The 14407-nt window shown below is 47.7% G+C and overlaps 1 protein-coding gene across 4 annotated transcripts in view; it reads left to right on the forward strand.

The window, feature by feature from the left end:
- Window positions 1–14407, forward strand: part of SGSM1 (small G protein signaling modulator 1) — a 121368-nt gene that overhangs the window by 42634 nt on the left and 64327 nt on the right. For all 4 annotated transcript variants that reach the window (NM_001039948.4, NM_133454.4, NM_001098497.3 and 1 more), the window contains exons 5-9: window positions 1436–1588; window positions 6152–6219; window positions 6441–6586; window positions 6705–6836; window positions 10872–10996. In NM_001039948.4, the coding sequence (NP_001035037.1) occupies window positions 1436–1588; window positions 6152–6219; window positions 6441–6586; window positions 6705–6836; window positions 10872–10996 (624 nt within the window). The remainder of the gene's footprint in view (window positions 1–1435; window positions 1589–6151; window positions 6220–6440; window positions 6587–6704; window positions 6837–10871; window positions 10997–14407) is intronic.

Below are 14407 nucleotides of genomic sequence, written 5' to 3' on the forward strand. Positions count from 1 at the left end.
GCATTTCAGGCCCTGCCTGCCCAGGGCTGCTGGCCAGAACGGTATGGTGGTCAGAGCTCAGGATTTGACTCTGTCAACTCCCATTTGGAATGACTTCTCAGCCAACTGTTCTTTGAATACCTTCCAGTCCATCTGCTAAGTTCCCAGGTGTTTGCAGATAACTTCTTAAAGGATTAGATTTGTCATGGGCCTTCCACAACACTGGGAGTGACCTCCTAGTGGAGGAGTTAGAGATGCCTGTGCAAGTGGTAAGGGAGAAGCATTTATTCATATATGCAATCACTCATTCATAAACATTTACTAAGCTTCCTCTATACGTCAGCCAGTGTGCTGGGCCCTGGAGATACAGAAATGAAGAGGGCCAATGCTTGCCACATGGTAGACTCTCAGTAAGTATTTTATTAAAAAAAAAAAAAAAATGAGTTGCGGCCAGGTGCGGTGGCTCATGCCTGTAGTCCCAGCACTTTGGGAGGCCAAGGTGGGCAGATCACCTGAGGTCAGGAGTTCAAGACCAGCCTGACCAACATGGAGAAACCCTGTCTCTACTAAAAATACAAAATTAGCTGGGCGTGGTGGTGCATGCCTGTAATCCCAGCTACTTGGGAGGCTGAGGCAGGAGAATCGCTTGAACCCAGGAGGCAGAGGTTGTGGTGAGCCGAATTGTGCCATTGCACTCCAGCCTGGGCAACAAGAGTGAAACTCCGTCTCAAAACAACAACAAAAAAAATGAGTTGCCGATTTCATATCCTCAAGATCAAAGCATGGAGGGGACGACAGAAAAGTGAGCAGGGAGCTCAGCTCCAGAGGCTGACAGAGTACAGACCAGCTTTGGTTGGTCCAGGAGGGCTTCCTGTAGGCAGGAGGCAATGCCCTCGCTGAGACTTACAGAGTGAGAGGGATCAGCCTGGGAATGGGTGGGGAGGGAACCCGGAAGAAGCGGCAGCCCAGGGAAAGGCTTCAGATGAGACTCTGGTGGCCTCAGGCATCTGCACGTATCTCTGTCTGGCTGGATCATGGAGTCATAAGCGTTAGTGGTAAGGAGATTGCTGGAGAGGTGAGTGGGACAAGGTCTTGGAGCTCTCTGCTGGTCTTGTTGAAGAGCTTGCTTCCCAAGGGCACTGGGGACCCAATGAAGGATCTATACTCCAAGACTCTTCTTGGCCCACCCTCCTTTCCAGGAGAGAGAGGTGGGGGGTATCAGTATGAGAATCTGGCTTGCCCTAGGAAAGTGTCTTGTTTAACCACATCTGCACACTCACTGGGTATTACTATTTTTTCAACTCCTGACCAGCTTGCTAGCGGCAATATGGGCTCTTCTTGTTTAGCTGCCATTCCTTCATTTTCCTGAGAGATTGAACATTCTCCCATTTGCCAATTAGTCCTGTGTAGATTTGCTCTTGTGAGTATCTATTCCCGTCTTTTATTGGTCTTGAAGGAGAAACCAGATTCAAGGCCTCCAGGAGAATGTGCGGAAGCTGCCGAAGCTGCCCAACTTGTCCCCACTTGCCATCAAGCATCTGTGGATTCGCACAGCCTTGTTTGAGAAGGTCCTGGACAAAATTGTGCATTACCTTGTGGAAAACAGCAGGTGAGAGGGAAAGACCTGACACCTGGCCATGCTCTGCCCCCACCTGCCGGCCGTTGTGGAAATTGCACCCCCTGGCACAAAGCTGCTTTCTTTTTCCCCTTGACAGCCACTAAATTTGAAAGTGATTAAATGCTTGGAAACTTGGGTAGATTCAAGAGCTTAATGGCAGTGCAAGGTCTTCGGATTTAGGGTGGAGTATAGGGATCCTGGGTTTCTTCCTTCTCCTGTGGATTACTCCATTCAATAACTGTGTGGCCCTAGAGAATCGCTTAGCCTCTCTGTGCCCGTTATCTCTTTTGGTAAATGGCATGGGGATTCCCGATACTCCAGAGAAGTGAGAAGGGAATTTGGTGAATATGCAGCATTTTGCAAATGCATGGTGAGGCTGGGCGCAATGGCTCACGCCTGTAATCCCAGCACTTTGGGAGGCCGAGGCAGGTGGATCACGAGGTCAGGAGATCAAGACCATCCTGACTAATGCGGTGAAACCCCGTCTCTACTAAAAATACAAAAACAAAATTAGCCGGGCGTGGTGGCAGGTGTCTGTAGCTCCAGCTACTCAGGAGGCTGAGGCAGGAGAATGGTGTGAACCCGGGAGGTAGAGCTTGCAGTGAGCTGAGATTGCGCCACTGCACTCCAGTCTGGGCAACAGAGCAAGACTCCATCTCAAAAAAAAAAAAAAAAAAAGAAAAAAAGAAAATGCATGGTGAGCCTTTTTAACGTTTTCTCCACTAGTTTAGATTAATCTGATGTGAAAGTTTTATAGTGTGAGCCCTCTTGGGTAACCATTCATCCATGCATTCATTCATCCAGCAAATATTTAAATGAGGACCTGCTGTGTACTGGCATTAACCTAGACGTCAGGGATATAGTGGTGATACCTTTCATGTCACAGAGCTTGTATATCATCGCAAGAGCAGTGAGGAGCCATGGAAGAATTTATCATCTGACACTCCTTGTGGCCAGCATGCCTCTCCAGCCCCCAAGAGGTGGCAGGAAGGGAGGGGGGGGTGGGGGGAGAGAGAGAGAGAGAGAGAGAGAGAGAGAGAGAGAAATATCTCAGAATCTCTCCATCTTTCAGAATATGAAAGTGCTGGCTTAACCACATCTTCACACAGTGGATGTTTTTATTATCATTCTTTGCCCCTTTGCAAGGAAAATATGCATGAAAGTGGAGAGAAAAGTCCCCCTTCTCATGAAGTTCACGTGCTTGTAAGGAAAACCAGCCAACAGTCATGCTGATAATACCTGATGGATGTTCCAAGGGGGCGTGGTGGCGTTGATAATTTTCTCCCAGTGGTCAGGGAAAGTGTCCTGGATGGCGCAACGGTTAAGCTTCCATTTGAAGAGCATGGAGGCATTAGCCAGGTGATGGGATGGGGAACAAAGTGTTTCTGGTGGAGGGAATAGCAGGTGCAGAGGCCTAGAGACAGGAAAGAAACTGCAAGAAATCCAAGCTCTGGATCTCCAGTTCCCTATTTACCTTCTAGTAATAACATGTCTCTGCCTCCTGCCCCATGAAGGTTTCTGGGCCTCTTTAATTATTGCCTTTGGCATATGACCTTGAGCATATGACCTGCTGATTAAGTTGGTCAAAGGGAATTAGTAATTTATTTGAGAAGCAATGTCAACCTGCTTTTTTTCCATTTCAACTTTTTATTTTTAATTTACATTTACATAGAAGTTGCAAAATTAGTACAGAGATTACTAATTGCCTAACCCCAATGATAACATTTTACATACCCATAGTGCAGTGATCAAAACCAGGAAATTGACATTGGTACAATACTATTAACTAACTGCAAAACTTTTTTGGATTTCATCAATTTTTATATTTACTGAATTTTTTTATACAGTTCTATGAAACTTTTAACGCATGTGTAGTTTCATATAACCCACATCACCATCAGGATACAGAATTATTCCGAAATAAACCTCATCACCCCAAAGAAACTCCCTTCAGCTACTTCTTACAGTCACACCTCGGTTCCAACTCTACCTGCTAATTTTTAAATTTATTTTTATTTTTGAGATGGAGTCTCACTCTGTTGCCCAGGTTGGAGTAGAATGGTGTAATCTTGACTCACTGCAACCTCTGCGTCCCGTGTTCAAGCGATTCTCATGCCTCAGCCTCCCAAGTAGCTGGTTTTACAGGCATGCACCACCACTCCTGGCTAATTTAGTATTTTTAGTAGAAACAGGGTTTCACCATATTGGGCAGACTGGTCTCGAACTCCTGGCCTCAGGTGATGCTCCCACCTTGGCCTCCCAAAGTGCTGGGATTACAAGCATGAGCCACTGTGCCTGGTCGTTTTTTATTTATTTTGAGACCCCTACTTGCTGATTTTTAAGGCAGCATGTTCAAAGTTTTTGATCGTATAATTCTGCTGATTTTTAGAAACTGGGTGATGGCAAAGTGAAAAGTGTTTTGATGTATTATCTTCAGATTTGACACCAAAATGTACAGCCTTGATATTGAATAAGTCCAGAGCATGTCAATTCTGGCTCATACGATATTCCAGTTGATGGAAGACTCTTGGGGGGTAAGATTACGATGATGTTGCCACCATTTTGTGAGAATTTCCTGATGTTGGGCTCTGTGCTGTGCTATGTAAGCAAGTTGTCATTTAATCCTTCCAACAATCCAGGCATTTGAGTTCTATACTTCCTCCCATTTTACAGCTGAGGACCAAAGCTCAGAGAGGGGTGTCACTTGCCCAGTGACACACAGCAAGGCAGGGAGAGGCAGAGCTGGGCTCCCACCCACTCTGTCTCACTCCAGATCCTGTGTCCTTTACTTCCTTCTGTATGTTGGCAAGAGCTGAGCCATGTGGGCTCAGCCCAAGCCTGTATCTGCCTGCTCTGTGGCCTCCAGCAAATAAATCGCTTACCCTCTGTGGGCCTGAGATCCCTTGGGAGGTCAGAACAAGGTTCTTTTCAATCCTGAAATTGTTTCTAGACTGTATGAGTTTTCAAGAAATTAGAAACCACTACACAATAACTCAAACAAACAAATCCAAAAACATTCAGCACAAACATTGTGTTGATGGTGTATTAGTTCGTTTTCATGCTGCTGATAAAGATATACCCAAAACTGGGAACAAAAAGACGTTTAATTGGACTTACAGTTCCACATGGCTGGGAAGGCCTCAGAATCATGGCAGGAGGCAAAAGGCACTTCTTTTTTTTTTTGAGATGGAGTCTTGCTCTGTTGCCTGGGCTGTAGTGCAGTGGCGCCATCTTGGCTCACTGCAAGCTCCGCCTCCCAGGTTCACGCCATTCTCCTGCCTCAGCCTCCCGAGTAGCTGGGACTACAGGCACCACCACGCCTGGTGAATTTTTTTTTTTTTTTTTTTTTGTATTTTTAGTAGGTATGGGGTTTCACCGTGTTAGCCAGGATGGTCTCGATCTCCTGACCTCATGATCCGCCCACCTTGGCCTCCCAAAGTGCTAGGATTACAGGTGTGAGCCACTGCGCCTGGCCAAAAGGCACTTCTTACATGGCGGCGGCAAGAGAAAAATGAGGAAGATGCAAAAGCAGAAACCCCTGATAAACCCATCATATCTCGTGAGACTTAGTCACTATCACAAGAATAGCATGGGAAATACCAGCCCCCATGATTCAATTACCTCCCCCTGGGTCCCTCCCACAATATGTGGGAATTCTGGGAGATACAATTCAAGTTGGGATTTGGGTGAGGACACAGCCAAACCATGTCAGATGGCATCACTTGCTATTTTTCAGAGCCAGATCCCAGGGGGCATTTTTGAGCATATTTGAGGCCAGTGCTCTCAATATTAGTTATCAAGGCAGGAAAGCCTGTTACACAGCCTTTCAGTACGCACTGCTGCTAAACAGCATTTGGTTGCCCCAGTAATAGAAGGGCAGACATCATCTGAGCCTCTAAGTCACTTCCTGTCTCAAATGGGAGATGTGGTAGAGGCAGATAGAGTCAGCCAGGCCTCCACAACCTGCTAATTATTATTCTTGTTACTATTATAAAGGCTCTATCATGACCATGTGTTAAGGAGGTACATGCTGAGCACCCCGCTAAATACCTTTAATTTTTGGTTCTCTCAAAAGTCCTTCCAGCAGGCTGGGCTTACAGGTGGCTTATGCCTGTAATCCCAGTGCTTTGGAGGCCAAGGTGGTGGGATCACTTGAGGCCAGGAATTCAAGACCAGCCTGGGCAACATAATGAGACCCTATATCTACCAAAAATTTAAAATTTGAAAATTAGCCAGTGGTGGCGCATGCCTCTAGCCCCAGCTAATTAGGAGGCTGAAGTGGAAGGATCACTTGAGCCCAGGAGTTCGAGGTTACAGTGCGCTTTGATTGTACCACTGCACTCCAGCCTGTGTGACAGAGAAAGACCTTATCTTAAAAAAAAGAAATCCTTTTTTCAGCCCTATGAGCTATATTATTATTATCCCCATTTTACAGATGGGGCAGCTGAGGCTCTGGGTGGTAACCGAGTGACACTGGGGATTGAACTCTCATCTGTGGATTGTGCGTCCTCTGCTGGTCTCCATCCAAACCTGCATATTCTCTCCTCTTGCTAGTAAATACTATGAGAAGGAAGCTCTCCTGATGGACCCTGTGGACGGCCCCATCCTTGCATCTTTGTTGGGTAAGTTGTCCTGTGTGCTGAGCTTCATCTAGACCCGTGGTCTTGAGTCTGAGGGGCACCTTCTCCAGGACTCTCTCACCCCTGTCCAGCCTTGCCCATGGAAATGCAGCACTGTTCTAGCTGGCTGGAGGGGAGGGTAGTGAGATGGGCGGCCATCTGCTGGTAGACATGCGGGAGGACTTTCCGGGGCAGTGGGTTTCCAGCCCCCACATGCCCCTCAGTGGGGCCCTGTGCCCTAGAGTACACCAAGATGAAGACTGCAGATCACTTCTGGACCGATCCCTCGGCTGACGAACTTGTCCAGAGGCACCGCATCCACAGCTCCCACGTGCGGCAGGACTCGCCCACCAAGCGTCCTGCCCTCTGTGTGAGTGGGGTGGACAGTGGGGCAGTGGGAGGGACCTTACATGAGGGCAGGAAGCAGGGTAGGAGCCCTGAAAATCACCCCAGGCCTCATCCCTCTGTCTCCCGTCACTCTCTACCAGATCCAGAAGAGGCATTCCAGTGGCAGCATGGATGACCGGCCATCCCTCTCTGCCCGCGACTACGTGGAGTCCCTGCATCAGAACTCCCGTGCCACCCTTCTCTATGGCAAAAACAACGTTCTTGTTCAGCCGGTGAGAGGTTATCTTGGGCCTAGATCTTGCACTGAGGGTCTCACTCCAGGTTATAGAGGAAAAGGTCTCTCTGGCTCCAGATTGCCAATCCATTCATCCATTTATGCACTCACCCATGCACACATCCACCCGCCCAACACTCATTCATCCATCCATCTATATTTACACGCACCCATCCTTACATCCATCCATCCACCCATTGTTATATCCATCCATCCACCCATTGTCACAACCATCCATCCATCCACCCATCTTTACATCCATCTATCCAACCATCTTTACATTCACCCATCCACCCATCTTTACATTCACCCATCCACCCATCTTTACATCTATCCATCCATCCATCCATCCATCCATCCCTCCATCTATCCATCCATCCATTTGTCCATTTATTTTCCTGTCCATCTCTTCACTCACCTGCATACCCAGGCTTCTATCCATCTGTTCGCTCTTGTTCTCACTTCATTGATTCAGCAAACATTTCCATGGACCTGCTATGTGCTAGGTGCATATGGTAGCAAGATCTTCATTCTCATGGCCAATATTTCTTGATGCTTCCTATGTGTCAGGCACTGTGCAAAATGTTTTCAACTGTATTAACTCTTAAACCTCCCAACGACCCTTTGAGGCAGGTACTGTTATTGCGGGCCTCAGTATTATCAGATGGTAATACTGAGGGCTGTACAGGTGAAGGCGCCAAGACAGTTATGATTTGAATTCAGGCCAGCTGGTGCCATAGTCAGTGCCATCACTCAGTCACCTTCTCTGCCCCATCACATGGCTAGGCTGCAGGGATGGGTGGTAGGTGAGGCATATGCAGTTCCTGCCTTCATGCAGTGTCTCCTTTCGCTGTCCCCTCACCAGGGCCATTTGGTTGCATGGTCATTGTGGTGTTTGGCCTCAGCGGGAGGAAGCAAAGGGAAAACCATCAGCCACTCCATCTCTGCAATCACAGTTTTAATCACTGACTGACTTTGAGCCAGTCACTTTTCCCTCTGAGCCTCCGTATCTGCATCACAATGGGTACAAAACCCTATTGCCGCAAATCTAAGAAGCCATTAATTTAAGATATACAGTTTCTTTTCTTTTTTTTTTTTTTTTCTGAGACAGAGTCTCGCTCTATTGCCCAGGCTGGCATGCAGGGGTGCGATTTCAGCTCACTGCAAGCTCCACCTCCCAGGTTCACACCATTCTCCTGCCTCAGCCTCCCAAGTAACTGGGACTACAGATGCCCGCCACCACGCCCAGCTAATTTTTTGTATTTTTAGTAGAGATGGGATTTCACCATGTTAGCCAGGATGGTATCAATCTCCTGACCTTGTGATCTGCCCGCTTTGGCCTCCCAAAGTGCTGGGATTACAGGCGTGAGCCACTGCACCCAGCTAAGATACACCATTTCTTAACGTAATCTAAACAAATTTAAAAATGTTATTTAGAGGACCAAGTGTGGTGGCTCATGCCTGTAATCCCAGCACTTTGGGAAGCTGAGGCAGGAGGATCACAAAGTCAAGAGTCCAAGACCAGCCTGGCCAATATGGTGAAACCCTATCTCTACTAAAAATACAAAAAAAAAAAAAAATAGCCAGGCATGGTGGCATGTGCCTGTAGTCCCAACTACTCGGGAGGCTGAGGCAGAACTGCTTGAACCCAGGAGGTGGAGGCTGCAGTAAGCCAAGCTCGCACCACTGCACTCCAGCCTAGGCAACAGAGCGAGACTCTGTCTCAAAAAAAAAAAAAAAAAGCTATTTAGATTATATACAGTGTTTTTGTTTTGTTTTGTTTTGTTTTATTTGCTACTTAGAAATTTTAGCTTATGCTTTTTGAAAGAGGTCTTTGAAACTTACGTGGATGTAGTTTTGTTTTGTTTTTTAATCTATATCACTTTTATAAGTAACACACAGGGAAAATATCATTGAAATACATTAATTAAGATATTCTTCAAACTTCTTCCAGTTCAGAGTTCCATCTTCCGTATCACTTTTTGACTTAGAGTCATCAGTGCCCTCATTTTTCCACACATTGTTTTCTGTTCCATCAAGAGAAGGAGTTAACAATCATCTGTGCCTCTACTTGTTTTTGCAAATAAAGTTTTATTGGGACACAGCTACAGCCTATGACTGCTTTCAGGCCTTGCTGGCAGAGTTGAGTGGTTGCAGCTGAGCTTGTATAGCTTACAGAACCAAACAATATTTCCTATTTGTCCCTTTACACAAAATGTTTGGTGGTCCCTGATCCAGGAGCACAGGAAGTGCAGCATTTCTTGCAAGAATGTCCACTCTCATCTCGGGGATGTTTTTTGTTTTTTGTTTTTTTGGAGACAAGGTCTCACTGTCACCAGGCTGGAGTGCAGTGGTGTGATCATGGCTCACTGCAGCCTCAAACTCCTGGGCTCAAGCAATCCTCCCACCTCAGCTTCCTGAGTAGCTAGGACTACAGGTGTGTACCACCATGCCTGGCTAATTTTTAAATTATTTTTTGTTGACATGGGGTCTCGCTATGTTGCCCAGGCTGATCTAAAACTCCTGGGCTCAGGTAATTCTTCCACCTCAGCCTCCCAAACCTCTGGGATTGTAGGCGTGAGCCACTGCGCCCAGCCTGTGATGGTTCTTAAGTCCTGTAAAGTATTTGGTTGCTTTGCAAGAAAATCTTGGCCAGGCACGGTGGCTCATGCCTGTAATCCTAGAACTTTGGGAGGCCAAGGCGGGTGGATTACCTGAGATCAGGAGTTTGAGACTAGCCTGGCCAACATGGCGAAACCCTATCTCTACTAAAACCTTATCTTTACTAAAAAAAAATACAAAAATTAGCTAGGCATGGTGGCAGGTGCCTGTAATCCCCACTACTCGGGAAGTTGAGGCAGAAGAATCACCTAAATCCGGGAAGCAGACGTTGCAGTGAGCCGAGATCGCGCCGCTGTCCTCCAGCCTTGGCAACAGAGCGAGACTCCATCTCAAAAAAAAAAAAAAAAAAAAAGAAGAAAGACAATCTGGACTTGTGGGCTTCCCTGCAGGGATGAATTACGTGCCTGCCTTGCCAGCATCTCACAGGCACTCTACCGCTCTGTTCCCAGCCTTCCTATGGGCACAGCAGGTTTCCAATTCAAAGTTGAATCGCAGTCAAATCTTTTTGAAGACATGTAAAATAGCACCTACATTTCACATGTGAAATAACAACCATGCCCAAAACTTAATTGAAGTGATGACGCTTTGAACAGCTGTGGCTGAGTCTGTGCGAGACCAGGCAGGGCAGCCACGTCACAGTTGTGATTAGAAGACCTGCACCCATTTCAGGTACATGAAAACGTGAACAATCAAGATGTGTGTCTTTGGATCAATGAAATACTGCACTGCTCCTCCCTTGGGGTTATAGGTGCGTGTGGTTAAATCAAGACAGTGCGTGTGAAGGCTGAGCCGTGATTGGGACACACTTGGTGCTCAGTAAATGTTAGGGTGAATTTGATGGAGGGGTGGTGACATCACCCTCCCCACACACCCACCTGGAATAAAACAAAGCCGGTGAGAATTCCTGTAGGTAAATCTAGGGGAGAAAAGGGACCGGCTACTGGGCGGGGAGTGTAGGGGGGGTTTTTGGGAGGAGGTCTCTGAGTATTGTCTCTAGGAAGGGCCCTAGAGCTCAACTGCCATCTCTTTCTCCCTTAAGCCTAGCCAAGATAAATGCCTTCTGTTTTGAAAAGCGTGATTTTCAGTGGGGCAGAGCCTCCTTCCTGGCTCTGAAGGAACCTGGGGTCAGGGACCCTGGAGCTCAGGAGGAAGTCAGAGTGTGAAAGTGATGGGGGTGGGAGGCTTTCACAGCTGGACGATGTAGAACCCATTTGGGAGGCTGGCTGCAAATGGCTTTGCTTAGCATGGCCATCTGGAAGGAGGCTTTAGAGTCTTCCACATGGCCAGGGCCTTGAAGGGATTAACCCAACCTCTTAGTTCTGATTATGTGTTCTTAAATCAAACGGGCCAGGACCTATGTCCACAGCAACTCCAGCACCATGGCCAGACCTGAGTCCTCCTCTCTCTGCAGAGGGACGACATGGAGGCTGTGCCAGGGTACCTGTCCCTGCACCAGACGGCTGACGTCATGACCTTGAAGTGGACACCCAACCAGCTGATGAACGGGTCTGTGGGGGACCTGGACTATGAGAAGAGGTAGGGCACTGGGTCTGATACGTATCCCTTGGGTCCCTCCACTCGCCTTGGCACAAGGAAGTTCCTCCCCGGGGGAGGGGAGGTTTGTATCCCGCCCCTGCTTCTGCCCCCTCCTCTGCCTGGTTGTTAGGACCACTTGGCTCAGCCTCCCCGCAGCTGTGGCCTCCCAGGAAACTCAAAGGCTTGAGAGGACCTGGAAACCAACTGGAAGAGTCTTAGGGCATGGAAGTTGGCAATGCCCTGGACAAAACCATCCAGAGGGAGACATCTTTATAGAGATCTCCTAAGCCTGCAAATGGCAAATATTCTTCAGTCTCTGTCTTCCCTCTCCCATCATTCAATAAAAAGGGAAGGCAGGAGGTGTTAGCGAGCATCTGGTCCAGGGCTGCATCTGCCATGAAATCTTGTGATTTATAAGACCCAGCAAAGGCTTTCGAGTCACACTTGAAAGAAATGCTGGGACAGGGGATTTCCTGCTGCAATGCCTGGGTTCCAGCCCAATTAGGGAAGACTTTAGGAGGAACAAAGAAAGCCATGGTGCAGAGGTGTGGCTGGTTCAAATATTTTAGCTTGAGGAGGCTTGGCTGCTGGTGGGGAGGAGAAGCAGTGGTTTTTCCTGCTCCAAGTCCACATCGAATCTTATTTTACATTTTATTGCTTTCCTAAAAAAACTTTCTACAATGAAGAATTTTTAACCTAAAGATAGACAGAACTCAGGTACCCATCGCCCTGCCCTCGTGGCCATGAACCCATCCCCTTCTCCCCAATAATATTATTCTGGGCCGGGTGTGGTGGCTCACACCTGTAATCCCAGTGCTTTGGGAGGCTGAGGCGGGTGGATCATGAGGTCAGGAGTTCAAGACCAGCCTGGCCAACATGGTGAAACCCCATCTCTACTAAAAATACAAAAATTGCCAGGCATGGTGGCACACACCTGTAGTCCCAGCTACTCGGGAGGGTGAGGCAGGAGAATTGCTTGTACCCAGGAGGCAGAGGTTGCAGTGAGCTGAGATCATACTGCTGCACTCCAGCCTGGGTGACAGAGCGAGACTGTCTTAAAAAAAAAAAAAAAAAAAAAAAAAATATATATATATATATATATATATATAATTTTGAAGCAACATGCAGACATGATATGATTTCATCTGTAAATATTTTAATGTGTATCTCTAAAAAAATAAAGACTCTTTTCAAGAAACATCAGGCCTTGGAGTGATGAAAAGTGTTCTCTAGGCTGGGCGCGGTGGCTCATGCCTGTAATCCCAGCATTTTGGGAGGCTGAGGCAGGTAGATCATGAGGTCAGGAGTTCAAGACCAGCCTGGCCAACATGGTGAAACCCTGTCTCTACTAAAAATACAAAACTTAGCTGGGCATGGTGGCGGGCACCTGTAATCCCAGCTACTCAGGAGGCTGAGGCAGAGAATTGCCTGAACCTGGGAAGCAGAGGTTGCAGTGAGCCGAGATCGCGCCACTGCACTCCAGCCTGGATGACAGGGCGAGACTCTGTCTCAAAAAAAAAAAAAAAAAAAGTGTTCTCTAAGCTGATTACTTCCTGTGCAGGAGTCACCATCTGTCCTCAGAGCTGGTCAGTGGGCAGGACAATTGGTCCTGTGCTGGGCACAATAATTCAGCTCCAACTAGACCCTGTAGTCTCTCTCTCTCTCTTTTTAAACATTTTAATTTTATTTATTTATATTTTATTTTATTTATTTATTCATTTTTTTGAGACACTGCCTCGCTCTGTCACCCAGGCTGGAATGCAGTGGCGCGAACTCGGCTCACTGCAACCTCTGCTTCCTGGGTTCAAGCGATCCTCCCACCTCAGCCTCCTGAGTAGCTGGGATTACAGGGACTTGCCACCACACCCAGCTAATTTTTGTATTTTCGTTAGATACGGGGTTTCATCGTGTTGGCCAGGCTGGTCTCGACTCCTGACCTCAAATGATCTGCCCATCTCGGCCGCCTCTCAAGGTTATTTTTATTTTTTTTTAATTTCTATTTTATTTTATATGGAGATGGTTTCTCGTTTTGTCACCCAGGCTGGTCTTGAACTTCTGGCTTCAAGTGAGTCTCCCACCTCGGCTTCCCAGAGTCTAGAGTTTCTTTCTTTCTTTCTTTTTTTTTTTTTTTGAGACAGAGTTTTGCTCTTGTTGCCCAGGCTGGAGTGCAATGGCACAATCTCGGCTCACCACAACCTCCGCCTCCCAGGTTCAAGCAATTCTCTTGCCTCAGTCTCCTGAGTAGCTGGGATTACAGGCATGCACCACCATGCTAGTTTTTGTATTTTTAGTAGAGACAGGGTTTCTCCGTGTTGGTCAGGCTGGTCTCGAACTCCCAACTTCAGCTGATCCACCCGTCTCGGCCTCCCAAAGTGCTGGGATTACAGGCGTGAGCCACCGCACCCGGCCACCCAGAGTCTAGAGTTTCTAATCAGGCGACCATCATGGAAGAATAGGGGAGGGGTCCCAGGGGTGCTCTGGGTCTCTTTATCTTAAACCTTGGTCTAAAGCCTTCTTTGACCTCCCTGCTGAGTCCAGATCACACAAGCCCTGAATCTCCATTGTAGCATTTAGAAGATTGTAGTCACACAGTCCATCTGTGCCTGTGTACCTACCATCTTGCCCTCGAGAGCTCAGTGCCTTAAAGGCAAGGGTCCCGTCTTGTTCGCTTCTTATCCCCAGCACCTGCCACAGGTTGTAGTACATAGTAGGTGCTCAGATCATCTTTGTGAAATGAAGCAGGGAAGTCAGGACCTGGATTCATTCACTGGATGTTTACTGAGCCCCTACTCTGTGCCAGCCACTGTGCTAGATGCAAGGGAGACAGATGCAAGGAAAGGAGGGGAAAATCTTTACCTTCTCAGAGCTTACATTCTACTGGAAGACAATGAATGAGCAAGGAGATGGATGGACATACGCTATGGAACCAAGCCTTTGCTCCACTGTCACCTTGCTGGGTGACCTGGGGTATGTCACTCCACCTCAATGAGCCTCAGGGTTCCCTTTTTATCAAGTGGGGGAGTAGGACGAGATATGGTCTCCTTAGAACTCAAGGCATTCCCAGGGGTCTGCAGGGGCTTCTCAAACACTGAAGCGTCTTGCACCCAACGTCAAAGCTTTCACAGCGCGAGGACCCTGTTTGTTGCTTGGACTTGAGCCCAGGGTTGTGTGGGCCAGAAACCTGATGCTAATGTTTTGGGAAAAGCATTGGATCCGAGGATTGCCAAGCCCCGCCCCAGCGCAGATAATCGGGGACCCGTGTTTCTGCATCATCTTTCGCTGTTGGTGAACAGGCACCTCATAGGCACTGTTTTTGTTTGTTTGTTTGTTTTCTTGAGATGGAGTCTTGCTCTGTCGCCAAACTAGAGTACAGTGGCACAATCTCGGCTCACTGCAACCTCCGCCTCCTGG

Source organism: Homo sapiens, chromosome 22 (genome assembly GCF_000001405.40).
Source record: "Homo sapiens chromosome 22, GRCh38.p14 Primary Assembly".
Lineage (NCBI taxonomy): Eukaryota > Metazoa > Chordata > Mammalia > Primates > Hominidae > Homo > Homo sapiens.